At 48.8% G+C, this 27784-nt stretch overlaps 2 protein-coding genes across 12 annotated transcripts, besides 7 other annotated features; one reads left to right on the top strand and one right to left on the bottom strand.

Moving 5' to 3' along the window:
* Positions 1-43: 43 nt before the first annotated feature.
* Positions 44-19834, bottom strand: RNF41 (ring finger protein 41). 6 transcript variants are annotated; one of them, NR_040053.2, is made up of 9 exons: positions 19625-19787; positions 14294-14478; positions 11823-11935; positions 10861-11003; positions 8162-8433; positions 6028-6163; positions 5511-5614; positions 5033-5175; positions 44-4663 (listed from the first exon to the last, which is right to left on the bottom strand). NR_040053.2 is itself a non-coding variant. In NM_194358.3 (8 exons), exons 5-8 carry the CDS (start codon positions 8308-8310, stop codon positions 4312-4314), a joined length of 741 nt encoding a protein of 246 aa, NP_919339.1. In that variant the 5' UTR covers positions 8311-8433; positions 10861-11003; positions 11823-11935; positions 14294-14478; positions 19625-19787; the 3' UTR covers positions 44-4311. The 6 variants fall into 6 exon arrangements, 5 of the variants coding, with proteins under 5 accessions (NP_919339.1, NP_005776.1, NP_001229755.1 ...); NM_194358.3 differs by lacking the exon at positions 5033-5175; NM_005785.4 differs by lacking the exons at positions 5033-5175; positions 10861-11003.
* Positions 5995-6044: a silencer, noted in NCBI's record as "silent region_4550". NCBI's record gives its function as "represses an Ori minimal core promoter by ATAC-STARR-seq in GM12878 lymphoblastoid cells {active_cell/tissue: GM12878}" and the evidence as "EXISTENCE:reporter gene assay evidence [ECO:0000049][PMID:35858748]".
* Positions 19709-19758: an enhancer, noted in NCBI's record as "active region_6481". NCBI's record gives its function as "activates an Ori minimal core promoter by ATAC-STARR-seq in GM12878 lymphoblastoid cells {active_cell/tissue: GM12878}" and the evidence as "EXISTENCE:reporter gene assay evidence [ECO:0000049][PMID:35858748]".
* Positions 19745-20679: an enhancer, noted in NCBI's record as "H3K27ac-H3K4me1 hESC enhancer chr12:56615664-56616598 (GRCh37/hg19 assembly coordinates)". NCBI's record gives its function as "activates a minimal SCP1, AML or CMV promoter by ChIP-STARR-seq in primed H9 embryonic stem cells {active_cell/tissue: H9 hESC(primed)}" and the evidence as "EXISTENCE:reporter gene assay evidence [ECO:0000049][PMID:30033119]".
* NABP2 (nucleic acid binding protein 2) lies at positions 19880-27719 on the top strand. Of its 6 annotated transcripts, XM_047429533.1 has the most exons (8): positions 19880-20064; positions 21449-21469; positions 22699-22800; positions 23238-23376; positions 23489-23560; positions 24044-24125; positions 24221-24284; positions 26879-27719. In XM_047429533.1, the coding sequence occupies exons 3-8, from the start codon at positions 22722-22724 to the stop codon at positions 27076-27078; spliced, it is 636 nt and encodes a 211-aa protein (XP_047285489.1). In that variant the 5' UTR covers positions 19880-20064; positions 21449-21469; positions 22699-22721; the 3' UTR covers positions 27079-27719. The 6 variants fall into 6 exon arrangements, with proteins under 6 accessions (XP_047285489.1, XP_005269206.1, XP_047285488.1 ...); XM_005269149.6 differs by lacking the exon at positions 21449-21469; XM_047429532.1 differs by lacking the exons at positions 19880-20064; positions 21449-21469 and adding an exon at positions 21480-21577.
* Positions 19979-20198: an enhancer, noted in NCBI's record as "active region_6482". NCBI's record gives its function as "activates an Ori minimal core promoter by ATAC-STARR-seq in GM12878 lymphoblastoid cells {active_cell/tissue: GM12878}" and the evidence as "EXISTENCE:reporter gene assay evidence [ECO:0000049][PMID:35858748]".
* Positions 20680-21613: an enhancer, noted in NCBI's record as "H3K27ac-H3K4me1 hESC enhancer chr12:56616599-56617532 (GRCh37/hg19 assembly coordinates)". NCBI's record gives its function as "activates a minimal SCP1, AML or CMV promoter by ChIP-STARR-seq in primed H9 embryonic stem cells {active_cell/tissue: H9 hESC(primed)}" and the evidence as "EXISTENCE:reporter gene assay evidence [ECO:0000049][PMID:30033119]".
* Positions 21030-21324: an enhancer, noted in NCBI's record as "tiled region #8924; K562 Activating DNase unmatched - State 1:Tss". NCBI's record gives its function as "activates a minimal TATA promoter and a strong SV40 promoter by Sharpr-MPRA in K562 cells {active_cell/tissue: K562}" and the evidence as "EXISTENCE:reporter gene assay evidence [ECO:0000049][PMID:27701403]".
* Positions 22056-22295: a silencer, noted in NCBI's record as "silent region_4551". NCBI's record gives its function as "represses an Ori minimal core promoter by ATAC-STARR-seq in GM12878 lymphoblastoid cells {active_cell/tissue: GM12878}" and the evidence as "EXISTENCE:reporter gene assay evidence [ECO:0000049][PMID:35858748]".

Here is a 27784-nt window from a genome sequence, read left to right on the forward strand (position 1 = left end):
AAAAAAAAAAAAAAAAAAAATTAAGACAGTGTATCAAAGTCACTGAAAGAGATGAAACAAAAAAAATTTTACTAGTATTAAAACAGATTAAGACAATTCCAGGTGCAGTAGCCCCAGCTACTCCAGAAGCTGAAGTGGGAAGACCACTAGAGCCCAGGAGTTTGAGGCTACAGTGAGCTATATGATGGTGCCACTGCACTCCAGTCTGGGTGACAGTGTTCTTTCTACTCCCTCCTTCCCCCAGTTCTCCTGACCTTAAAAGTTTAGAACAGGTTGGCAAATTTTTTTCTGTAAAAGACCAAGTATTTTAGGCTTTGTTCCAGCTACTTAACCCTGCTGTTGTAATGTGAAAGCAGCCACAGACAATATATAAACAAGTGGGCATAACTGTATTCCAATAAAGTTTTTTACAAAAGCAGGCAGTGGGGTTGTAACCTGTAGTTTGCTGACCTCTGACCTATAACAAGTAACACTTCCTGAAAAGCCTTTCCTGATACCCATCAGAATCAGGAGCTTTATCGTCCTTGGCTCACATATTACTAGTAAATCCACTTAGCACATTTATGATCCCTTATTATATATTCATCTCCATTAGGGACTAAGTTCTTTGCAGGTAGGTGCCATTTTGCTACATAAGCCTCCTCATGTTCACTCTAGTGAGTATCTCACAGGGCAGACATTCAATGAATATTTGTTTCTAAAAATCGTATCTTCTGTAAAAGGACAATATGACACCATTCATAACATTCACAAGAATGAGCAGCAAGTTCTAAAAGTAATTTTAAAGGAGTTTAAGGGGGGAAAAGCACTGCTAATGTCACTAGGATACATACATTGCCTCTTATGCTCTATACTGTGACATGCTTATCAGTATTTTATAAACATACCTTGTGTGCATAGAAGCGCAGACTCAGCACAGAAATGCCTTTTTTTTTTTTTTCAAGCCACTAGAGTATCAAGAGTACTATTAGGTTTACATCAGGTGCATGATAAATGCTCAAATTTAAAACAAACTTCTGGGAGGAGGAAAAGATATCCCTTTTTCTTTTCTTTTCTTTTTTTTTTTTGAGACAGGCTCTTGCTCTGTCACCAGGCTGGAGTGCAGTGGCATGATCTCAGCTCACTGCAACCTCCACCTCCCAGGTTCAAGCGATTCTTGTGCCTTAGCCTTCCAAGGAGCTGGGATCATAGTGGCGTCCCACCATGTCTGGCTATCCTTTTTCTTATGACAGGGAAAGGTAGCAGCAAATACTTATGAAGACTGGTTTTTTTTTTTTTTTTTTTGAGACGGAGTCTTGCTCTGTTGCCCAGGCTGGAGTGCAGTGGCGTGATCTCAGCTCACTGCAAGCTCCGCCTCCCAGGTTCACACCATTCTCCTGCCTCAGCCTCCTGAGTAGCTGGGAGGACAGGCGCCTGTCCGGCTAATTTATTTATATTTTTAGTAGAGACAGGGTTTCACCATGTTAGCCAGGATGGTCTCGATCTCCTGACGTTGTGATCCACCCACCTTGGCCTCCCAAAGTGCTGGGATTACAGACGTGAGCCACCGTGCCCGGCCTATGAAGACTTTTTTTTTTTTTTTTTTTTTTAGACGGAGCCTTGCTCTGTCGCCCAGGCTGGAATGCAGTGGCCCAATCTCTGCTCACTGCAAGCTCTGCCTCCCGGGTTCACGCCATTCTCCTGCCTCAGCCTCCTAAGTAGCTGGGACTACAGGTGCCTGCCACCACGCCCGGCTAATTTTTTGTATTTTTAGTAGAGACGGGGTTTCACTGTGTTAGCCAGGATGGTCTCGAACTCCTGACCTTGTGATCCACCCACCTCGGCCTCCCAAAGTGCTGGGATTACAGGCGTGAGCCACCGCGCCCGGCTATGAAGACTATTTTTATAAGTAAATAATTATGAAACCTCTGCAAGTACATTTCCCTCCTCACATTTACGTTCTTAGCTAGGAAACACTGGGAGGTAGAGACTTCTCTGCCTGCAAAGGAATTCTAGATTCTAAAGCAAAGTTGCTTGTGGGACAAAGGAAAAAGATATATACATATCTTCTGTAGAAATTATCCCAAAAACTCAGGACCACTCAGGGAAGACATGGAATTTAGGATAAAGGCAGACCCTGGGAAGCACACAGTTCAGATCACTAGAGAGCTTTGGCTGCTACAGAACAGGAGATAGGAGGGAAGAATGCAGGAGGGTACATGGGAAAGCAGCTGTGAAGTGCACACTACTCCCAGACATCCTCCTGAAAGAGAAGTTAGCACTAAGATAAGGGTAGGTAACAAAGTAAGGAAGAAAGGGAATTAAGGTGAGAGAAAGGCAAAAGCAGAGGGGAAACCTTCTCAAGAAAGGGAGTAATGCTGAAGAATTTAGAGAGTTGAGTAAAAGGTTTATTATTAGTGCAGTCAACACCATGGAACAGCACATACAACACAACCAGCAACCTGCAGAGACACTAGTGCAAAGGGTAGGGAAGCCTTTCACTGAGCTTCCTGGCTCCATCTGAGGGTAAGGACAGGACAGTATGAGCCTTGGTTAAGGCAGGTAGGGGAAAGGGGAGTGGAAGAAATGTAGTAACCAGAGTAAGTATAGCAGCGTTTTCAAATTCCTGAGCACAATGTCCCAGAGCTGGAACCCTACTCCCCTCAAGCTTTCCACCCCAATCCCAGTGGAGCCATGATCCAACTACCCAGACCTGCAGCAAGCTAGCCTGGAATAAAATTCTGAGAGGAAGCCATTACATGGTGGGGAGGAGCCTTTCTATCTCCAACCACACTCCCACCTCCATATTAAAATAATCACACCTATTATCTCTCCCCTTCTCTTACTCTGCCAGTCACTCTAGGGATCAAGGTATACCCCAGGTAACCTGAAATGGAACTGAAGTCCCCAGGGGGGTGTGGGTGAGACACGGCACAGCCTGTACTTAGAGATAAAATTTCTGATTTGCATGGTGAAGCTTAGAACCCAGCTATACAGCTCCAAGGAAACTTGGGGAAGGGGGAGTTGCCTTCAAAATGAATACTCTAAATCCAGAGTTTTATGATAAGGCCCTGGAAGGGCTAGGAGGAAATTTTTCCAGAGGGCACAGGCATCGATGCTGGACTGTCATATCCTTCACAGGAAGAGAGGAAGCTCCTCATTTCAGTTGGGGTTACAGAGGTTTGGGGCAGATATCGTAAGTTCAGCCGAGGACTCCCTTGGCTCTTCCTATATTAAAGCCAAAGGTTGTGCTGAAAAGGAAAAAATATAAAACACACCCCCATCCCTGTCCCACCCTATCCAGAACCCCCACAATAGGAACATCAAAAGAAAAGTTTCAAGTTTGATTTTTTTTTCTTTTTTCCTTTCTTAAAAAAAAAAAAAGGAAGTAAATAAATTAAATTGCCAACAATGTGGCTGAGATAGCCATGATCAGGCCATTCTTAAAAAAAAGAGGGGGGGGGGCAGTAGGTGGAGTTTGTGAAATATAAACAAACAATGGCCAAAGAAAATTATCAAAGTAACTAACTACAGTCACAGGGCTAGAGAGGGGTCTATGGAACAATTATGGCCTGTGCCACAAGAGGCAGTGCCAACCATATTTTAGCAAAAGCTAGGAGTAGCTTCTTGCTAAACACATCAACCCCCAACAGATTAACCCCTACCCTAAACCCTGGCATTCCCTAATTATGAAAACTTGTAGGAAAGAAGAGCTCATCTGGAAATTTTCAGTATCCCAACCTGCATACTGGTAGACCCAGTGGGTGCCTACACCTTTAAGGTGGGCTGAACAGGGATACTGCTTGGCACAGAGGTCCAGTCTTTCCCTAAGGGCCATCAGTGATGGCCAATTAACGGCCTCACTACTTATTTCTAGAGATTTGGCTCCACCCTTACCATTTCTTCAGGATGTCTGCTGCTTAGAGTCAACAGGCCTGACTGCTCTGATTCCCTGGTTTTGGAGGAGAGGGACGATTAGAGATTCCTTCCTCTGTCCTGATCCTCCAGGGAAATTGAATCTCTTTGTGCTTTCTGAAAATAACTGGAACCAGGGACCCTAAGCAGGAAAATGGATGGAGGTGGGGGCTTTCCCACCCAGACTGATAATTTATAGACATTTTAGGGGAATATGGCAAAGGGAGGAAATCTGGGTTTCCCACCTGAAAGGCTGAGCAAACTACCCCAAGGCCCTTCAGTGCCAGAAGGGCAGGGAGATGTGTGGCTCAGGTATAAGCCACAGTATTAAGAATGGTGGGTAGGACTCAGGTCCCAGCTGCTGGAGTGATGGGATTTTCTGATTTCCATCTCTTCCTGATAGCCAGTCGAGTTCTCTTATATCTCTTCCACGCCATGCGCAAATATCATGACAAGGCCTGGCTCTTGCACCATGTCATCCCCCATGTGCTGGTTCTCACAGGCCATCACGACAACAGCCTGCTTGCCAGGGATGCGCTTGGCCACGTAGTTCTCATAGTAGCGTCGGTTCATCTGTCTAGTCTCTAGTGTGGCCAGACCCTGGGGCCAGCTACGCTCGTGGGCATTTTCAATCAGCTCGTTGACAATAGAAGCAGGACAGCCACTCTCCACCAGGGAGCGCTTGATTACAGCCTGGAGCACAGCATCAGGAGTCGAGATCATCCCTCCCCAGCGGGTCACTCTTGCTGGCTGAAGGGAGTTCACCCACCTGTGTGGAGGTGGTTAAAGATGGTCATTCCAGCTCATCTCCTTTCTCTGTATTGGCTTTTTCTGCTAATAGAAATAACTACCCACTCTGCACTCAGCTTACCTATTCTTCCTTCTTTCCTTCCATCATTGGCTCAGAAACCCCAAATCTTTCCCCACTTGGTCCCAACTGAGTCACCACATGTTACTCACCAGATTAAATTCCACAAGTCTGCACTCTGTCTCTGTTACTTTTCTTTGAAATTCCAATACTTAGCACATATAGCGCCTAACACAGTTAGTGCTCTATGTTTAGTGAATAAAACAATTATTCCTCTATCCTATGTCCCACTCAGCACTATTTGCCCTGTATATATTGATTCACACTTACAGTTTACTCTATGAACTGTATAGGACTCCAGAACTGAAAGAGATCTTAGACTTCACTTGTATACTTCGCTTGTTTTTGCTGCATTTTAGAGATCACTTTCCTGGACTTGCACTCTGCCTCCTCTTCTCTGGGTTGTAAGCTACCTGAAGACAGGACGATATCTTCTATTTCTTTTTGGCCCTCCTAGCACTCCACAGCCTTTAATACAGGGCTTTGTACATGGGTACTCACCTAATTCTGGATAAAGTGCATCCTTGGGCAGGCTTTCCCTCCATCCACCCAAACACATAAGACATCCTGTAGTGGAGCTAAGGGTTATCCTCTTCTCCTCTGCCCCTGTCCTTAATGCCAATATCTGAGAAGCAGTGACCCCCAGCCCAGCTCTCCAATGCCCTCCTTCTGCTACTCTCCTGCTCTTCCTCCTTTCAGGCCTTGTTGTCAGGACATGAAATCACTCCACGTCCTGAGTGACACTCACTCTAGGATCTCGTTGTATTCAATTGTCTCCTCCAGGTTCTGAAGGTTGGGGTTGACACTGCGGATTGCACGCATGTATGCCTTTAGCAGCTGGATGTCTCGCTTCTGTTGTGGGGAAGAAGAACAGGAATAATGGTTAAGGCAGACAGCAGAAAAAAGACAAAAGTTTATCCAAGAATGAGGGCAACTGAGAGATCTGAAGAACAACCAGTTTGTAAGCTTCAGGAAGACAGGGATAAGACTGTCTCACTCACAGCTGTCTCCTTAGTACTTACAAATGTGCCTTCACAGAGGAGGCATGTGATAACTGGTAGGTGAATTAATGCTATGAATGGGATGAAGAAAAGTCAAGGAGAGCTCCAATCTGATTCCCTGCTAAGCCACAGGCAGAATATCCACTCATCTAGGCTCACAAGTGTAAGCACTGGTCTGTGTGTTCACAACTGGTTTTTATTACCCACAGGCAGGCAGTTATCTGCATATGAGGGATATGTTCTCCCCCGTGTCTTGGGGCCTACCTGCTCCGCCAGCTGGTGTTTGTGTTCAGCTGACGTCTTCTCCAGCTCTGCGATGCGTGTCTGCTGCTGCTGTACCACTGAGCGCAGGTGCTTAATGCAGTTATGGTTGGGCAGCTCATCTTTGGGCATCTCCAGGCTGCAGACCAGGGTGGGGAAAGAGCAGAACAGAGGTGATCCCTGGGACATGTATGCAAATGGCCTATTCTGTGGCAGATAACTGCTAAGTAGATTTTGTCCTACCCAAAATTTCTAACATTCATTTCAGGCCTCCCTCTTGTTTATTCCCTTCACTTTCTTCGTCCAAGCTTCCTACTTGCCCCTTTGCTGTCTATTTTCCTTAAATTTCTTTCCCCAATCAAGACACAGTGTTTTATCTATTTTTTAAATTTATTTTATTTTGTATTTTTATTATTTTTTTTGACACGGAGTTTCGCTCTTGTTGCCCAAACTGGAGTGCGATGGCATGATCTCAGCTCAGCGCAACCTCTGCCTCCCAGGTTCAAGCGATTCTCCTGCCTCAGCCTCCCGAGTAGCTGGGATTACAGGTGCGCGCCACCATGGCCGGCTAACTTTTTGTATTTTTAGTAGAAATGGGGTTTCTCCATGTTAGCCAGGCTGGTCTCAAACTCCTGGCCTCACGTGATCTGCCCCCCTCGGCCTTCCAAAGTGTTGGGATTACAGGCGTGAGCCACCGCGCCTGGCCTTTTTTTTTTTTTTTCGAGACCAAGTTTCACTCTTGTCACCCAGGCTGGAGTGCAATGGCACGGTCTCAGCTCACTGCAACCTCCGCCTCATGGGTTCAAGTAATTCTTGTGCCTCAGCCTCCCGAGTAGCTGGGATTACAGGTGCCCACCACCACACCTGGCTAATTTTTATATTTTTAGTAGAGATGGGGTTTCACCATGTTGGCCACGCTGGTCTTGAACTCCTGACCTCAGGTGATCCGCCCGCCTCGTCCTCCCAAAGTGCTGGGATTACAGGCGTGAGCCACCGCACGGGGCCTATTTATTTATTTTGACACACTGTTTTTATCTACTGCACAGCTCTCCTTTTCCTCCTACAGATTCTGCCTGTGCACTTATTCCTTCAGAGAAGCCCTATATTCACAGCCCCAGCTATCAACATTCTTTTTATTTTTTAGTTAGGGGGAACAGAGTCTCATTCTGTCACCCAGGCTGGAGTGCAATGGCGCGATCTCAGCTCACTACAACCTCTACCTCTGGTTTTAAGTGATTCTCATGCCTCAGCCTCCTGAGTAGCTGGGATTACAGGCGAGCACCACCACACTTGGCTAATTTTTTTTTTTTTTTTTTGAGACGGAGTCTCGCTCTGTTGCCCAGGCTGGAGTGCAGTGGCTCAATCTCTGCTCACTGCAAGCTCCCCGTCCCAGGTTCATGCCGTTCTCCTGCCTCAGCCTCCCAAGTAGCTGGGACTACAGGTGCCTGCCACCACGCCTGGCTAGTTTTTTGTATTTTTAGTAGAGACGGGGTTTCAATGTGTTAGCCAGGATGGTCTCAATCTCCTGACCTCGTGATCCACCCGCCTTGGCCTCCCAAAGTGCTGGGATTACAGGCGTGAGCCACCGCGCCCGGCCCCACACCTGGCTAATTTTTGTATTTTTAGTAGAGACAAGGTTTTGCCATGTTGGCCAGGTTGGTCTTGAACTCCTGGCCTGAAGTGACTTGCCCACTTCGGCCTCCCAAAGTGCTAGGATTACAGGTGTGAGCTAACATGCCCTTCAGCTATCAACATTTAGTCGAATATTTCATAACCCACAGAAATAAAAAAATAGGGCAAGAGGAAATATGAGAAGGCTGGCAATTATAGCAGTCAACCTGACAAACGGAAAGTAGTATTGGACTGAAAGGGAAGAATAGAGTCAATCAAGCTTTAATGTTATTACACAAATTTACTAAATTGCTGTGCCCCTTCTTTTGTTAAAGCAAGAGCAAAATGATTATAGTTGGAAAAGCAGCAAGAAAGTAAGATCTTAGAGCAGGAAGCCAAGGAGGCTAAGAATACTCCTTGCCAACATGCCAAAGAGACCTCCTCAGCTAGTGAGGAGGGCAGCCAGAGACAGGGGCATAAATGAGATGGCCCTTATCCATGTGGGGCAGAAGGGAACAAATCTCACCCACAGCCCTGTTCACAGGTCACAGGCCGCTTCGGGTTGTGCTCACAGTCGCTGAGGTGAGACATGAGGTTGTCAAGCCGGACAACGGCACTACAGCCGAACACAGCGTTGTCACAGGCAATCTGCAGCTTTGACAACATGTTCCGCATGATCCGAGGTACTGGGCGCAGATGGGCGACCGTCACAACACTACGGTCCACTGGACATGTCTGTTGCTGAGAGAACCACTGGGTGATGCAGGCGTTGCAGAAAGCATGTTCACAATGAGGTGCCTAGAAGAGAGAACAAGGCAAAAGGGGCGCAAGGGAATTAGCAGGACCTAAGAGCCTGGATATGATATAACTCTACAAAGCCAATCAAGCCTTTGAGCAGCCTCTACGACAAGAGGTCCACTGGGTCACAGCAAAGTATAGATCTACTACGGGCAAGGCATTGTAGGGGACAGGCTTAAGATACGTTTCCTGCTGGGCACGGTGGCTCATGCCTGTAATCCCAGCACTTTGGGAGGCTAAGGCAGGCACACTGCTTGACCTCAGGAGTTTGAGACCATCCCAGACAACATGACAAAACCCCATCTCTACAAAAATTACAAAAATTAGCCGGGCATAGGCCGGGCGCAGTGGCTCACGCCTGTAATCTCAGCACTTTGGGAGGCCGAGGCAGGCGGATCATGAGGTCAGGAGTTCAAGACCAGCCTGACCGACATGGTGAAACCCTGTCTCTACTAAAAATAAAAAAATTAGCCAGGGGTGGTGGCGCATGCCTGTAATCACAGCTACTCAGGAGGCTAAGGCAGGAGAATAGCTTGAACCCAGGAGGTGGAGGTTGCAGTGAGCCAAGATCACACCACTGCACTCTAGCCTGGGCAATACATCTCGAAAAAAAAAAGCTGGGCCTGGTGGCACGTGCCTATAGTCCCAGCTAGCCAGGAGGCTGAGGTGGGAGGATGGAGGATGGCTTGAGCCCATAAGGCGGAGGTTGCAGTGAACCAAGACTGCACCACTGCACTCCAGCCTGGGTGACAGAGCCAGAACCTGTTTCAAAATAAATAAATAAATATATATATATATATTCCCTGTGCTCAAGATTAAAAATGAGTTGTGAAACAAGACAAACAAGTAAAAAGTTATATAACAATAAGAGATACAAATGATATTCTAGGACAATAGGACAGATGACACAAGGCAGCCAATTATTAATTGCCATCTGGATTGCATACACAATAATTGCCAAAAATGTCCAGAGGAGGGTGAGGTCTTTTCAGGCTAGCTCAATCACGGCAGGTATTTATGAAGAGGACAGAATTTGATATGGGTCTTGAAGGATAATTCAGATGATAGATTTAGAGAGGAGGAGGACATATTTACTGGCAAAAATTCAATGTAAGAAAGCTAGGCCAGGCATGGTGGATGGCGCCTGTAATCCCAGCACTTTGGGAGGCTGAGGTGGGCGGATAATGAGGTCAGGAGATTGAGACCATCCTGGCTAACATAGCGAAACCCTGTCTCTACTAAAAATACAAAAAATTAGCCGGGCGTGGTGGCGGGTGCCTGTAGTCTCAGCTATTTAGGAGGCTGAGGCAGAAGAATGGCGTGAACCTGGGAGGCAGAGCTTGCAGTGAGCCAAGATCATGCCACTGCACTCCAGCCTAGGCTAAAGTGTGAGACTCCATCTCAAAAAAACAAAACAAAACAAAGCTAAATAAGGCCGGGCATGGTGGCTCATGCCTGTAATCCCAGCACTTTGGGAGGCCAAGGCAGGCAGATCACTTGAGATCAGTTCAAGACCAGACTGGCCAACATGGTGAAACACAGATATATTCATATATACATATGTATACACAAATACATATATATGCAGACATCTATTCATATTTGCTTATATCTGCCTTAAGACACACTGGAAGGATACCAAATAAACTAATAAAAATAGTTATCTGTGGGGGAATTAGGTGCACAGTAATAAAGACAGAAGTGAGAATTCTCACTGTATACCTTTTGATTTCTGAACTATGTTCATTTTTCACCTATTCAAAAAATAAATAATTATGATGTGGGGAAATCAGCATCCCTAGCAGGAGCCTTCTAACCTTAGAAATGTGTCTGGGAACCTGGCATCATGAGGGTTGCCTGCTCTGCTCCTCAGAAGATAAAGCCTGGAGGTAGATGGGTGGCTTCTGACTAGACTGTCACCAACTACGACTCACCTTTCCATAAGTGACTTGCCTAAAATGATAGTGCCAGAAAACAGACAAGGCCCTGCCAGGGTGAGGAGGGAACCTGACACACCCTGTGACCTCTTGACACTACTACTTGATGACTTGCTCCACACCCATCTAATATGCCTCTAATGGCAGCAGACTGCAAAGGCCTAGAAAGAAGACAGGTCCAGAGTTGGTTGCCATTGGAATGCAGTCTGAATTTTATTCAGCTCAAGGCATCAGTACTCCTTTTGGAGTAGTACTGGGAGAAAAAATAAAGGCTCAAGGGGAGCCCCTGGGAGTTAGGTGAGCAGTGAATGGGGGAAGGGCCATGAAACCTCATTGCCTAGTGTCCTGGTTTGGAAAATGTGATAATCTCTAGATAGCCAGGAAAGAGAAAGGATTAATTGGTATTTACAGAATGAGGGCAATAAGGATCCTGGAGGATGCTGTCCCATGAATACAACTCTTAAGGATTCACCTCACTCATTGTACTTGCCTGGTAATCGTGAGCTTCTCCTCATACTTGCCCCAGGATGATACAACTGACTCTGGTCTGGCAAGGCTGGCAGAGAAATGACCTATTGAAGGTGGCAGCTTTCACATCAAAATGCAGAGTGCATGGCTGTATCAAAAGCTGGTCTTTTCAGTAGATCCCAGGAAAAAAATAGGTCAGTACATACAGTTCCCCACTTCCTATTTGTTTTTGTTTTTTTTTTTTTGAGATGGAGTCTCACTCTGTCACCCAGGCTGGAGTGCAGTGGCACAATCTCGGCTCACTGCAACCTCCTACTCCCGGGTTCAAGCAATTCTCCTGTCTAGCCTCCTGAGTAGCTGGGACTACAGGTGTGTGCCACCACGCCCAGCTAATTTTTGTATTTTTAGTAGAGACGGGGTTTCACCATGTTGGCCAGGATGGCTCTTGAACTCGTGATCCACCCACCTTGGCCTCCCAAAGTGCTGGGATTACAGGTGTGAGCCACTGTGCCCAGCCTTCCTATTTGTTAGACAGTAGGCAGGTAGAAGAGGCCTGCAGGGAGCCTGGCTGATTACCTGAAGCACTACATCATAAAAATGCAGAGAGAACTTATTAGGAGAGTCCAGAAGTTCAATCACGGACAGGAAGATGGAACCTAGTAAGAGTTCCTGTAGAGGAAAGGAAGCTACCCAGCTACTATCACAAGACAGAAACAAGCAGCTGACTGTTTTACAGGAGAAATCTTTCAGAGTGACCTCAGAAAAAAATCTGAACCACTGGATCTCTGTGGCATCCACCTCTAGATTGATTCTGGAAGGCCTTATTCTTGTAGTCACCATTACTCCTTTGACCTAAATCTCTATTGGGTGAGGGTGGAGAGAAGAACACAGTGACTTCACCATGGGTCCCGCTGCCCATGAATATTTTCTACTAGTTCCACTGCTACCTGTTGCCCCACCAAACCTGCCATCAGACCAACTCACCTGTACTGGCTCCTCCAAGACTCCACTGCAAATAGGGCAGATAAGATCTTCGTCAACATCCCCCTGGAAACGGGTTACATCATACCCCATGTCTCATCACTGAAACCCAGGTCCTGAAAGGACAACAGGAAAAAGAGGCCAGTTCAGAAGAAGCCTACAAATATGTGACAAACATACACTCATTGCCAAGATCCATTCATTTATCCAACAAATATTTACTGGGAGTCTACTATGCAGCAGTCATTTGGCTCGGTGGAAGCTGACTCAAGAAATTTAATTCTGGCCAGGTGCAGTGGATCACGCCTGTAATCCCAACACTTTGGGAGGCCGAGGCAGGCGGATCACCTGAGGTCAGGAGTTCAAGACCAGCCTGGCCAACATGGTGAAACCCTGTCTCTACTAAAAATACAAAAATTAGCTGGGTGTGGTATGCGCATCTGTAATCCCAGCTACTCGGGAGGCTGAGGCAGGAGAAGCATTTGAACCCAGGAGGCAGAGGTTGCAGTGAGCCGAGATCGCGCCACTGCACTCCAGCCTGGGGAACACAGCGAGCCTCAGTCTCTAAAAAAAAAAAAAAAATTAATTCTAAGGCCTGGCACAGTGGCTCACGCCTGTAATCCCAGCACTTTGGGAGGCCGGGACAGGCAGATGAGCTGAGGTCAGGAGTTCAAGACCAGCCTGGCCAACATGATGAAAACCCAGCTCTACTAAAAATACAAAAATTAGCTGGGCGTGGTGATGCACATCTGTAATCCCAGCTACTTGGAAGGCTGAGGCACAAGAATCACTTGAACCCAGGAGGCAGAGGCTGCAGTGAGCCGAGATTGCACCACAGCTCTCTAGCCTAGGCAACAGAGTAAGACTCTGCCTTAAAAAAAAAAGAAAAAAAGAAATGTAATTCTAATGGGGGAAGACATTATATAAGCACACATTTAAAATATAAAGTGATAAATACTCAGAGTAGAGACAGGACCTTATGAGGACAAGAGACATGAATACCTAACCCAGGCTGAAAGCAGAGGGTGGTTTTGACAAGTTTTCCAGGACTGGGCGTCACCAGAAACGTGTCCTGTAGGGCAAGAGTCAGCTAAATGTTGGGGGAGCAGGGCATTAGGGTGTTATGCACATAAAATAGCACATCCAAATGCCCAGAAGAGGGCATATGATAGGTTCAGAGAATTTCAAGTGATTCAAGAAAAGGCTGACCTGAGAGGTGGGAGGGAGGGCCTGTCAAGAGACAAGGCTGGAGAGGCAAGCAAGGGCCATGCTGTGAAAAGTCTGTGAGGATTTTGGACTTTATTCTGAAGGGTATGAGAGAGCCACTGAAGGACTTAAAAAACAATGTGATAATAGTTCCATTTTAGAATCAGTATGTTAACAGGGGAGAAACTGGAGACCGGAAGAACATCTAAGTCAGGAGAGTGACGGTAAGAGTCTGAACTTAGGTGGTGGTGGTGATGGGGATAAAGAAGAGAAGAGAGGGCCGGGCATGGTGGCTCATGCCTGTAATCCCAGCACTTTGGGAGGCTGAGGCAGACGGATCATGAGGTCAAGAGATCAACACCATCCTGGCCAACATGGCGAAACCCCGTCTCTACTAAAAATACAAAAATTAGCCAGGCGTGGTGGTGCGCACCTGTAGTCCCAGCTACTCGGGAGGCTGAGGCAGGAGAATCGCTTGAACCCAGGAGGCGGAGGTTGCAGTGAGCCGAGATTGCACCACTGTATTCTAGCCCAGTGACAGAGCACGACTCTGTCTCAAAAAAAAAAAAAAAAAAAAAGAGAGGTCCAAAAGAGCAAGGACTCAAACAGCGGCAATGGCGCCATGCCCCTTCTTTGGGCTCCCAAAGGTCAAACCCAAAGAAGAGGTCAGTAAACAACTGGCTGGGCGCAGTGGCTCACGCCTGTAATCCTAGCACTTTGGGAGGCCGAGGTGGGTGGATCACCTGAGGTCAGGAGTTCAAGACCAGCCTGGCCAACATGGTGAAACCCCATCTCTACTAAAAATACAAAAATTAGCTGGGCATGGTGGTGGGCACCTGTAATCCTAGCTACTTGGGAGGGTGAGGCAGGAGAACTGCTTGAACCCAGGAGGTGAAGGTTGCAGTGAGCTGAGATCATGCCACTGCACTCCAGCCTAGGCGACAGAGCAAGACTCTGTCTCAAAAAAAAAAAAGAAGAAACACATAATCCTTGTCCTCAAACTAAGGTGTAGGCTTGAGCCCAATGAGTACATAGGAAAAAAAACACATAAAAACACATAAACGTATTAAGCAAATTATTAACAAGTAAAAGTCAATAATTTATGTAAGTTGTAAATATACAAAAAAGAACAAATGGTACAGATTAATCACAGAAAGCTTTCTGCAGAAAGAAGTTTTAAGAACTGGACTTTCAAGGGCAGAAGGAATCCCGAGCGACAGAGAAGAGGGTTGAGGCCTGGAATGGGATTCTGAATCAAAGCTCTTTACCTTCCAAGTGTTGGGGGGCAGGTTCCCTGTTCACAAGGCTCCAACCCCCTGATGCCTCCACTCAGTGCCACTGAAGAGATTCTCCCAGTAACCCATCTTGTTGGCTATTCTCCGACTGAGTATTCCTTCCCAGTGACAAGCTCCATCGCCCAGGGGATGAATGTGATGTCACAATCAGGAGTACTCTAGTAATAGGAACAAGGAAGAGAAAGGAGAGTCAGGAGAACTACCTCCACTTGGCAAGGAGACTGGACAGATGGATCTGGCAGTTGGTTGGGGAGGATGAGACAACTCCATTAAGCACTACAGTTTTCAGTGCTAGGCAAATAAGACTACCTTCTAAGGAGGGAGCTCACCAGCTAAGGAAGCACACACACGGGGTCCAGTAGATTTGAACATAGCTGGGAGGGGGAAAGAAAAGGACAAGAGAGGCCGGGCGTGGTGGCTCACGCCTGTAATCCCAGCTCTTAGGGAGGCCAAGGCGGGTGGATCACGAGGTCAGGAGATCAAGACCGTCCTGGCTAACACGGTGAAACCCCGTCTCTACTAAAAATACAAAAAATTAGCTGGGCGAGGTGGCAGGCGCCTGTAGTCCCAGCTACTCGGGAGGCTGAGGCAGGAGAATGGCGTGAACCTAGGAGCTGCAGCTTGCAGTGAGCCGAGACCGCGCCACCGCACTCCAGCCTGGGCGACACAGCAAGACTCCGTCTTAAAAAAAAAAAAAAAAAAGACAAGAGGAAAAGTAGAGGAGTTGTTGGAGATTTAAGATTCTTTTATTCAGTGCACATAACTACCAGTAATAATGATTCCAAATCTGTGACTACAAAATGCATAGATCCAGGTTGCGATGGCTCACGCCTGTGATCCCAGCACTTTGGGAGGCCGAGGCGGGTGGATCACCTGAGGTCAGGAGTCGGAGATGAGCCTGGCCAACATGGCGAAACCCCATCTCTACTAAAAATATAAAAATTAGCCGGGTATGGTGGCAGATGCCTGTAATCCCAGCTACTCAGGAGGCTGAGGCAGGGAGAATTGCTTGAACCCAGGAGGCGGAGGTTGCAGTGAGCCAAGATCGCGCCACTGCACTCCAGCCTAGGCGACAGAGCAAGACTCTGACTCAAAAAAAAAGCAAAATGCATAGATCCATAATACATTATGTGTACAGGATGATGCTTTAATGCAGAGGTCCCCAAATCCCCAGATGGACCAGTACCAGACTGTGGCCTATCAGGAACCGGGTCGTACAGCAGGAGGTGAGCAGGAAACAAGCGAGCATTAAGGCCTGTGCTCCATGTCCTGTCAGATCAGCAGCGGCATTTGATTCTCATTGGAGCATGAACCCTATTGTGAACTGCCCATGCGAGGGATCTAGGTTGCCCACTCCCTATGAGAATCTAATGCCTGATGATCTGAGGTGGTAGAGTTCCATCACAAAACCATCCCCTCGCCCACCATCTGTGGAAAAACTATCTTCCACAAAAAGGCTGGGGATGCTGCTTTAATGTTTCCAAAGTGCTTTCACATAAATTATTATTATTATTTCGAGATAGAGTCTCGCTCTGTCACCTAGGCTAGAGTGCAATGGCGCGATCTTGGCTCACTGAAGCCTTGGCCTCCCGAGTTCAAGTGATTCTCCTACCTCAGCCTCCAGAGTAGCTAGGATTACAGGCACCCACCACCATGCCCGGCTAATTTTTGTATTTTTAGTAGAGACGGGGTTTCACCATGTTGGCCAGGCTGGTCTCGAACTCCTGACCTCAGGTGATCCACCCGCCTCAGCCTCCCAAAATGCTGGGATTACAAGTGTGAGCCACCGCGCCTGGCCCACATAAATTATTATTATTTTTTTGAGATAGGGTCTTGCTCTATTGCCCAGGCTGGAGTACAGTGGCATGATCATAGCTCACTACAGCCTCGCCTTCCCAGCAGGCTCCAGCAATCCTCCCACCTCAGTCTCCCAAATAGCTGGGACCACAGGCACACACCACCATGCCTGGCTAATTTTTGTATTTTTGGTAGAGATGGGGTTTTGCCATGTTGCCCAGGCTGGTCTTGAACTCCTGGGCAGGCTCCAGCAATCCTCCCACCTCAGCCTCCCGAAGTGCTGGGATTACAGGCACCAGCCACTGCGCCCACCCCCAAATCTACACATTTAAACAAGTCAAGTAACCCTGCTGTAGTTTTTCTGTTGCTTCAACTGTCAAGTAGGGAAAATGATACCTGCCTTATATATTAATATAAGGTATATATAATATATACATATTTATTATATATATATATGTTATTTTTTTTTTGAGACAAAGTGTTGCTCTGTCGCCAGGCTGGAGTACAGTGGCACGATCTTGGCTCACTGCAACCTCTGCCTCCCGGGTTCAAGCGATTCTCCTGCCTCATCCTCCCAAGTAGCTGGGACTACAGGCATGTGCCACCATGCTGAGCTAATTTTTGTATTTTTAGTAGAGACGGGGTTTCACCATGTTGGCCAGGATGGTCTCAATCTCCTGACCTTGTGATCCGCCCGCCTCGGCCTCCCAAAGTGCTGGGATTATAGGCGTGAGCCACCATGCTTGGCCTATTTTTCTTTTTTTTTTTGAGATGGAGTCTTCCTCTGTCGCTCAGGATGGAGTGCAGTGATGCAATCTCCTCAGCTCACTCCAACCTCCACTTCCCAGGTTCAAACAATTCTCCTGCCTCAGCCTCCTGAGTAGCTGGGATCACAGGCATGTGTCACCATGCCAGGCTAATTTTTATTTTATTTATTTATTTATTTATTTTTTTTTTGAGACGGAGTCTGGCTCTGTCACCCAGGCTGGAGTGCAGTGATGCGATCTCGGCTCACTACAAGTTCCGCCTCCCAGGTTCACACCATTCTCCTGCCCCAGCCTCCCAAGTAGCTGGGACTACAGGCGCCCGCCAGGACGCCCAGCTAATTTTTTTTTTTTATTTTTAGTAGAGACAGGGTTTCACCACGTTAGCCAGGATGATCTTGATCTCCTGACCTCGTGATCTGCCTGCCTCGGCCTCCCAAAGTGCTGGGATTACAGGCGTGAGCCACCGCGCCCAGCCAATTTTTATATTTTAGTAGAGACAGGGTTTCAACATGTTGGCCAGGCTGGTCTCAAACTGGCCTCATATGATCCACCACCTTTGGCCTCCCAAAGTGCTGGGATTACAGGCGTGAGCCACTGCGCCCGGCGTAATATAAGGTGTATATATGTGTGTGTGTGTATATATGTGTATATACACGCGCGCACCCCTTATACATACTGTCTGCAAATCAAATGAAATAATAAATACGAAAGGAGGCTGGACGCAGTGGCTCACACCCGTAATCCCAGCACTTTGGGAGGCCGAAGTGAGTGGATCACCTGAGTCCAAGAGTTTGAGACCAGCCTGGGCAACATAGTGAAACCTTGTCTCTACAAAAAATACAAAAATTAGCCGGGCATGATGGCGTGAGTGCCTGTAGTCCCGGCTACTGAGGAGGCTGAAGGGGGAAGGTCAACTGAGCCGAGGAGGCAGAGGTTGCAGTGAGCAGAGATCGCAGCACCGCACTCCGGCCTGGGTGACAGAGTGAGACCCTGTCTCAAAAATAAATAAATAAATAAATAAATAAATAAATAAATAAATATGAAAGGATACTGAATACTGTTATCCTCAAGTAAGATTATTTGTAGCAACAGAATACAAAATAAGGCTGGGTGCAGTGGCTCATGCCTGTAATCCTAGCACTTTGGGAAGCCGAGATGGACCAATCACCTGAGGTCAGGGTTTTGTTTTGTTTTTTTTGGCGGGGGGTGTGGGGAGACAGAGTCTCACTCTGTTGCCCAGGTTGGAGTTCAGTGGTGGAATCTCAGCTCACTGCAACCTCTGCCTCCTGGGTTCAAGCAATTCTCCTGCCTCAGCTTCCCAAGTAGCTGGGACTACAGGTGCATGCAGCCATGCCCCGGCTAATTTTTTATATTTTTAGTAGAGACGGGGTTTCACTGTGTTGCCCAGGCTGGTCTCGAACTTTTGAGCTCAGGCAATCCGCCCGCCTCGTCCTCCCAAAGTGCTAGGATTACAGGCGTGAGCCACCGCGCCCGGCTACAGTCAGAGGTTTGAGACCAGCCTGGCCAACATGGTGAAACCCCATCTCAACTAAAAATACAAAAAATTAGCCAGGCATGGTGGCAGGTACCTGTAATCCCAGCTATTCAAGAGGCTGAGGCAGGAGAATCGCTTGAACCCAGAAAGAGGTGGCACTGAGCCGAGATTGTGCCACTGCACTCCAGCGTGGGTGACAGAGTGAGACTCCGTTTCAAAAAAAAAAAAAAACAAGAATGCAAAATAAATTTAGAGTACTGAGAGTCGGAGAGGAAATGCTTGACAAAAGCTTGTTCCTTCTTTTTACTAGAAGGCAGGGCTAGCCACAGGTCGGTCGGCTTAACATTGCATCACTCACATTCCCTACCACTAGTCCACTACATTCTTATTTGGGGCAAAACTATCAGCCAACAACACTATCAGTCTCTTGCCCTATTGTCAGACTCTAAAACCCCTGTATAGAAAGGGATAACACTATCACGGGCCAGTCCCCAAGAACAGTGGCCTCAATAACAGCCCCACTTGCTATTAAATGAAATGAAGTTTCTGAACGGGGAAGCAGTCTGTCAATCCCTCAAGCAAAACGCCTTCACCCCTCCTGGCTTTCTGCTCTTCCTCTAGCCCCCTCCTCCCCACTACCCAATTTCCCAAAGTCCTGAGTTAGGGAAGGCCTTCCAGTGTGTGGTGTGTGAACCCTGCCAGAGAGCCAGGCTGCAAACCAAGCGCAGGGATGTGAAGAATGTGAGATTCCTTCATGGAGGGCTGGGAGGGGGTGAGGAGCGGGGAAGGAATGAGAGGACAAGGCTGCCAACGACAAGGCATGGGAGAGGAGCCAAGCTATGGCGCTTCGAGGGCGGGGGTTTAGGTTCCACCGCCCCTGCCCAGGCTGGCCCCCGGAATGCTCCCTTCCTCCCCTTCTGGCCCGTCAATCATTGCCCATTTAAACACCACGCTGTTCCCCCAGTTCTGCAGGTGCCGGTCCTCCAGCTAGCCCCGGCCCCCTCCCGCACTTCTCAAAGCTCCCCTATTCCAATGGACCTTCCCCAACAACCCGTTCTCCAGAGCCCCCTTCTCACCTCCCGACTCCTCGCCAGTGCTGCTCCCTTCTCACATTTTTATCTCTACCACCATCCCTCCTCCTGAACCCCAGTTATTTCAACCCCCCGCCCCAATACCCCTGGGACATCACCTCCTCCCCTCCCACACCCTCTTTTAGGTGGAAGATCGCGCAGGCGCAGTACGCACCGCCCTGGAAGCGGCCTGGAGTCTCCGCAACCTGACCCAGTCGGAGCTGAGGCCGCAGCGGCCACAGTACTGCCCTGGTGCCGGGTCCCAGCCTCTCCCGGGAAGGGAAGGGAAAGGGGAAGGAGGGGAAAGAAGACTCCTACCACTCGTCGCCGCCTCAGACGGATCCTTTGCCCCGCCCACCGCTGCTACGCAACCCGGCGGAAGCTCGTCACCAAACCCCGCCTCTTTGTTTAACTCAGCCCCTACACCAGCAGCCAGGAGCTGCCTACGAGGAGGGACGAAGGCTGGCCAGGCCTCCACTCTAGACAGGAAGTCTAGTCTAGAGTCTATATGGTCCCAGCCAGGACTATGTAGCCATTTAGGAGGGAGAACTCTATGTTCTTCCCGGCAAAAACGTGTGGGCCTGGCCGGCCACGCTTCGCTTTGGAGGGGTGCAGGTGACTTGTGTCTTAGAGCTGACGCAGATTGTTGCGAGATCATTGCGGAGAGGCAGGCCTGCAGCGTGACCTGCTGCGGGTCCGGCCCCTCTCCCTTTTCCAGAGCCCTGGTCAGCATCCCAGAGCTTCGTAACCCCTTGACTCCTGTCATGGGAATGGATATTGCAGTTAACAAGGCGGCCGCGGGGTGGGGAGTGAGGGAGTCTGACCGCAAAGCTTAGATCTGGGGTGCTCAACGGGTTGTCTGCCTCTCTCCCAGGCGCTCTCCTGCCGTATCCACGATGGCTCCCCGAACACTTGTGGAGTTCCCTGAAACACCTAAGAGGAAGGAAGGGAGAAAAAATTTCCCTCTTCCTGAGTTGGGGTTTGATTTCCTTAGCTTACAACACCGTGGTGTTGGGGATGTGGGCGGTAGAGAACGTGGGATCCAAGGGAAGTCAATGTGGAGCCTAAAGAGCTCCGTGAGCAGATAAGGGATTAATTAAGCAAACCAAGGCATTACAATCACATGACTTCCTAGACTAATCTGGTATTAAATAGTATGGTATTTATTGTGGACATTGGCTAAGCAAATGCTAATGCACATTAATACACACATACACACATATCTTTATGTAATTTGTTTATACACAACAATACAGAGCTAGCTACCTTTTGTGGACAATTTGACAGGTCCCAAAAGGAACTAAAGTTTCAGGCCTCCTTTCTGCTGTCTTCTAGCGGGACTCTGAGATAAGTAAGATAAGAGTAGTATGGCCGGGCGCGGTGGTTCATGCCTTTAATCCCAACACTTTGGGAGACCGAGGCTGGTGGATCACGAGGTCAGGAGTTTGAGCCCAGGCTGGCCAACGTGGTGAAACCCCGTCTCTACTAAAAATACAAAAAAAGTAGCCGGGCGTGGTGGCGGGCGCCTGTAATCCCAGCTACTCGGGAGGCTGAGACAGGAGAATCGCTTGAACCCGGGAGGCAGAGGTTGCATTGCAGTGAGCCGAGATCGCGCCACTGCACTCCAACCTGGGCGACAGAGCAAGACTCCTTTGCCGGGGTGGAGCGGTGGGGCGGGGCGGGGAAGAGTAGTATGGCCAGGTGCAGCGGCTCACGCCTGTAATCCTAGCACTTTGGGAGGACGAGGTGGGCGGATCCCTTGAGGTCATGAGTCCGAGACCAGCCTGGGAAACATGGCGAAACTGTCTCTACAAAAAAAATACAGAAATTAGCCGAGGGTGGTAGTGCGAACCTGTAGTACCAGCTACTACGGAGGCTGTGGTGGGAGGTTGCAGTAAGCCAAGATTGCACCACTACACTCCAGCCTGGGTTACACAGCGAGACCCTGTTTCAAAAAAAAAAAAAAAAGGGACTAACAATGTTTCTCTCTTTGTCGCAGGTTCCATTTCTTCCAAGAAGGGTGAGCCTGCCTTTTGTCTCTGGTGTAAATGCCACTTTTCCCAGAGACCTTGACCAAGCTGGGTAGTGCATTAAAGATGAGAACCCCAAATCAGGAACAAAGATAACGGTTAGAGCAATAAAAAGGGAGGAAACCGTGTGTGCCTACTGTGTGCAAGGCACTTTTTTAAATATAACTTCCGTTTTCTCGTAAGATGGAATTACATATTTTTTGTCTTTTTTTCCCTTTTTGTGGAGAATGGGGTCTCGTTATATTGCCCAGGCAGGTCTGGAACTCCTGGACTCATGCTATCCTCCAGCCTATGCCTCCCTACGTGCTGGGATTACAGGCGTGAGCCACCGCGCCTTGCGGAATTGGAATTACATATGTTTAAATAGTCGAGAAATGAAGTGAAGCATTGAGCCAGGATTCAAACTTTTGTCCGCCAGATTCCGAAGCCCTTGCTCCTTTTCCCATTGTGTCACTCTTTGGAAAGAAACGTCTTAGAACCTAAGTGCATTCTCCCTAGCCAAGTTAAGGAAAACTGGGGGCCCTGTGCGCCTTCTAGTGGTGGATTTTTCCCCCTACAGAGCCAACTATCTCCAAGGTTCCTTTAATACCTGAAATTCGCCCCCTTCGCGGCGCACGAGTCTCTGATCCCGATTGGCTGGGCAGGGCAGGCGGCGGGACGCAGGGCGCGCCCGGGCGGTGCTGATTGGCCGGAGGAGGCCAGCCGGGGGAAACTTCCGGGAATGTCCGCACTCCCGCGTTCCACGGGGCAGCATCCGGCGGCAGCGGAGCCTGTGGCTCCCCCTGCGGGCTGCTCAGCGGCGTGCACAGTCCTGCCGGCTGGCTTGGGTGGGTGGTGGGCTGCGGGTAGGGGAGGGGATGGACCGAGTCCCGGCTTGTCGGGATGAGGGTTCCGGAAGATCTGGCCAGTAAGATTCTACTCCCTGGCTGTGCACCGGGTTCCCTACCCCTGTCTACGTCGGCTCCGCCACTTCGCGGCTTGAGACTAAAAGAGCATCCCGGCAGGGGGCCTTCCAGCCCCAAAGCAGCCTGTCCAGAGACCCCCAAATTCTGATCCTGAAGTTGGAGGCCTCCGGGGATGTTCTTTTTTAATCTTTTAGAAGGGTTAGAGGGGTTGAGGCTGCCTGACCCCAGCCTAATGGGGTAGGTAGGCCTTGGGAAGTGGAGCATGGGGGCAAAGGATCCAAGCATTGAGCCTTCATCCTCTATTCCCCATCCAGTGGGGTGCCGAGGCTCAGGCAGCATGACGACGGAGACCTTTGTGAAGGATATCAAGCCTGGGCTCAAGAATCTGAACCTTATCTTCATTGTGCTGGAGACAGGTGTCTATACTGGGGTGGCGGGTTCGCGGGATGGGGGTCGGGGGCAGGAGGGGAAGAACGCTGTCTGCGTTCTTAACTTGCTATGGGGATGGCAAGGCAAGCTGCAAGACACTCCTCACTCCCAATCTCTTCGACCCTGGGACAGAAAGTTGCAGTCAGGTATAGGGTAGATAGAACTCTTGCCAGATCTAGACCTCCTGTGCGACGCGGGCCTCTTTCCACTCAGGGCCCTCTCCATGGTGCTGGCCCCTGAACTCCCACCTCCACCCTCCACCACCCCTTCCACAATCCCAACCCTTTATGCCCCAGGGATTTGGGCTTTCCCCTGTTTGTACACCTTTTCCCTCATTCCACCAATATCCACATCTCATCCTTCTGAGAGATACCACTCCATTTATTTGACCATCCTCCCACCTCGATTTATCTGTTCCGTTCAGGCCGAGTGACCAAGACAAAGGACGGGCATGAGGTTCGGACCTGCAAAGTGGCGGACAAAACAGGCAGCATCAATATCTCTGTCTGGGACGATGTTGGCAATCTGATCCAGCCTGGGGACATTATCCGGCTCACCAAAGGGTAAGTCAGCTGGTGACTTCTGGCCTTCCAAAGGCAACAACAATCAAGAGTGGGGTTAACAGTCCCTATAACACTTCTGAGTACTGAATTTTGCTTTTTTTGCCTCCCATAGGTACGCTTCAGTTTTCAAAGGTTGTCTGACACTATATACTGGCCGTGGGGGTGATCTGCAGAAGATTGGAGAGTAAGTGCTGTCTTGGGGATTGGGATGAAGAAGCACCAGGGCAAAGGGGTTTGCAAGGAGGCAGCATAGGGTGTGCAGTCCAAGCCTCATTTCTGGACTTTTTCTGTTTGTTTGTTTGTTTGTTTTGAGAAACAGTCTCTGTCGCTCAGGCTGGAGTACAGTGGCATGATCTGGGCTCACTGTAGCCTTGACCTCCCGGGGTCAGGTGATCCTCCCACATCAGCCTCCCAAGTAGCTGAGACTACAGGCGTGCTTCACCACACCCAGCTAATTTTTTTGTATTTTTTATAGGGATGGGGTTTCGCCATGTTGCCCAGGCTGGTCCCAAACTCCTGGGCTGAAGTGATCCTCCCGCTTCTGCCTCCCAAAGTGCTAGGATTACAGGTGTGAGTGACCACACCGAACCTATCTGGACTTTTCTGAGGCCTCCAGCAGTGGCCCAGAGGATGAATTCAAGGCTTTAGCTACTTTCTTCCCTTGCAGATTCTGTATGGTTTATTCTGAGGTTCCTAACTTCAGTGAGCCAAACCCAGAGTACAGCACCCAGCAGGCACCCAACAAGGCGGTGAGTCCTGTGGCCACAATGGTGGGAAAGGAGGGCAGATCAAGACAAGAAGCATGGGAGGGAGCAGGATCTGAATATGTAATCTGTGCCTTCAGGTGCAGAACGACAGCAACCCTTCAGCTTCCCAGCCTACCACTGGACCCTCTGCTGCCTCTCCAGGTAAATCTGTTCCCTTCTATCCACTGGTCCTCCTAGCTCTCCCACTCTCCTCAGCCTAGAAAGATGCATTTCCCTCATTCCTTTTCCAAATCTCTCTTTTCTCAGTGTATCCTCCTTCACCCAATTCTCCCAGACCCCTTTTTTTTTTTTTTTTTTTTTTTTTGAGACGAAGTCTCGCTCTTGTCAACCAGGCTGGAGTGCAATGGCGTGATCTCGGCTCACTGCAACCTCCGCCTCCCAGGTTCAAGTGATTCTCCTGCCTCAGCCTCCCAAGTAACTAGGATTACAGGCACCTGCCACCATGCCCGGCTAATTTTTTTTTTTTTGAGATGGAGTCTCTGTCACCCAGGCTGGAGTGCAATGGTGTGACCTCGGCTCACTTCAACCTCTGCCTCCTGGGTTCAAGTGATTCTCCTGTCTCGGCCTCCTGAGTAGCTGGGATCACAGGTGCACGCCACCATGCCCTGCTAATTTTTTGTATTTTAGTAGAGACGGGGTTTCACCATGTTGCCCAGGCTGGTCTCGAACTCCTGAGCTCAGGCGATCTACCCACCTCAGCCTCCCAAAGTGCTGGGATTACAGGCGTGAGCCACCGCGCCCAGCCATGGGCTGCAGATATCTTAGTCCAGTGGAGCAGCAGGGTTCAGTAGAGATATGGTTTAAGAACTAGACTGGCTGGGCGCAGTGGCTCATGCCTATAATCTCAGCACTTTGGGAGGCCAAGGCTGGCAGATCACCTGAGGTCAGGAGTTCAAGACCAGCCATGGCCAACGTGGCGAAACCCCATCTCTATTAAAAATACAAAAATTAGCCAGATGTGGTGGCAGGAGCCTGTAATCCCAGCTACTTGGGAGGCCGAGGCAGGCGAATGGCTTGAACCTGGGAAGTGGAGGTTGCAGTGAGCTGAGATCATGCCACTGCACTCCAGCTTGCGCGACAGTGAGACTCTTTCTCAAAAAAAAAAAAAAAAGAACCACTAGGCTATAACTTCCATGCCATTTAGGGTTCATAGTCCCTACTGTATGCAAGAAGCAAACCTCTGCCTTCATATAACAAATGTTTCTAGAGCACCTACTATTTGCCGTGGAATAAAACACACTACCTGCCTTTAGGGGCTTGTGGTTTATACAGGAGAGAGATAATGATTATAATACGCCATGGTTAAGTTCAATGACAGTGGTATGTCCAGAGTTGTGAGAGCTCAAACAAATCATCCCACACACCTGGCTTCAAACATTGAAAATATAAGCCAGACGCAGCGGTGCACACCCATCATCCTAGCTACTTGGGAGGCTGAGGCAGGAGCATTGCTTGAGCAAGGAGTTTGAGGCTGCAGTGAGCTATGATCACACCACTACACTCCAGCCTGAGTGACAAAGTGAGACCTCATCTCTAAAACAGTAAAAATTAAAAAATAAATATTTATATACACAAAAATGTGACTTGTTATTAGCTTTGGTGGGTAAGATTACGTGTAATAATCTTTTCACTAGCTGGGCGCAGTGGCTCGCGCCTGTAATCCCAGCACTTTGGGAGGCCGAGGTGGGTGGATCACCTGAGGCTGGGAGTTCAAGACCAGCCTGACCAACATGGAGAAACCCCATCTCTACTAAAAATACAAAATTAGCCAGGCGTGGTGGCTCATGCCTATAATCCCAGCTACTCAGGAGGCTGAGGCAGAAGAATTGCTTGAACCTGGGAGGCGGAGGTTGTAGTGAGCTGGGATCGCTCCATTGCACTCCAGCCTGGGCAACAAGAGCGAAACTCCAACTCAAAAAAATAAATAAATAAAAAATAATAATAATCTTTTCACTGATGGTTATCTATATTTTCTAAAATGAACATTATCATTATCGTACACTCATACACACCTTTTTTTTAAGTGCCTCATATTTTAACGCAGAGACTTCAGGCCCTTCCCCTTGCCATGCTTCTCCAGTTTTATAATCACTTTTGGTGAAGGGGCCTTTTTTTTTTTTTTAATTGAGAAGGAGTCTCACACTGTCACCCGGGCTGGAGTGCAATGGTGCAATCTCGGCTCACTGCAACCTCTGCCTCCCAGGTTTAGGCGACCCTCCTGCCTCAGCCTCCTGAGTATCTGGGATTACAGGCGCCTGCCACCACACCTAGCTAATTTTTTGTATTTTTAGTAGAGACGGGGTTTCACTATGTTGGCCAGGCTGGTCTCGAATGCCTGACCTCGTGATCCACCCGCGTCAGCCTCCCACCGTACTGAGATTACAGGTGTGAGCCACCACGCCTGGCCCAGTAAAGGGGCATTTTTGTCAGAGGTCCCTGAGCCTAGAACTAAACAGCTAATTCTAGGTCTGATTCCCAATAATAGTGAGATAACTACAAGAGAAAAATACCGTACCGAGGTTCATGTAGCAACTTCCTAAATGATCGTGTAAGTCTTCTCTGGAGCTCCATTCATACTCGCAGCCCACAGTCTTTTGCATTTGGTCCAGTTGGCATTAAGATGCAGTTGTGCATGGTGAAGACTGTGCCACTCTTTGGGGCATGGAGACAGGCCTTGGGATGGACCCCTCTCCTATGTTAACTAATTCCTTTGTTTCTTCTCCTCCCACAATTAGCCTCTGAGAACCAGAATGGGAATGGACTGAGTGCCCCACCAGGTCCCGGTGGTGGCCCACATCCCCCTCATACTCCCTCCCACCCACCCAGCACCCGAATCACTCGAAGCCAGCCCAACCACACACCTGCAGGCCCGCCTGGCCCTTCCAGCAACCCTGTTAGTAACGGCAAAGAAACCCGGAGGAGCAGCAAGAGATAGCATGACATTCTTTCTTCCTGCCACCAACCACATCCCAAGTGTCCCCTGGAGAGCAAGATAGCCTTCCACTGATTGGCTGGTGTAGCAGTATTTTAGCCACTGAACTTCAGTGGAGGGTGGTGAGCAGTGTCCTTATCCACCCTAATCTCATACTCCCTCATTGTCCAGCTGAACTACCTGTCCCCTGGGAGTCAGGACCCTCTGCCTGCTCTCTTTCCTCTTTAGAAATGGCAGTTACTGGCTGGGCGCAGTGGCTCACGCTTGTAATCCCAGCACTTTGGGAAGCCGAGGTGGGCGGATCACCTGAGGTCGGGAGTTCAAGACCAGCCTGACCAACATGGAGAAACCCCGTGTCTACTAAAAATACAGAATTAGCCAGGCATGGTGGCGTATGCCTGTAATCCCAGCTACTTAGGAGGCTGAGGCAGGAGAATCTCTTGAAACCGGGAGGCGGAGGTTGAGGTGAGCCGAAATTGCACCATTGCACTCCAGCCTGGGCAATAAGAGCGAAACTCCATCTCAAAAAAAAAAGAAAGAAAGAAAGAAAGAAAGAAAGAAATGGCAGTTACCATCTGTTTCTTCTGTGTGAGACATGGGAGTCTAACTGAAGTCTCTCCTTCCTAATAAATGTTACCACTCTACTCTGTGTTGGACTCCTTTGCTTTCTGTGGGAAAAGGAAGAGGTTAGCAACTAGGCATTTGGGAA

The sequence above is a fragment of the Homo sapiens genome, chromosome 12, assembly GCF_000001405.40.
Source record: "Homo sapiens chromosome 12, GRCh38.p14 Primary Assembly".
NCBI lineage: Eukaryota > Metazoa > Chordata > Mammalia > Primates > Hominidae > Homo > Homo sapiens.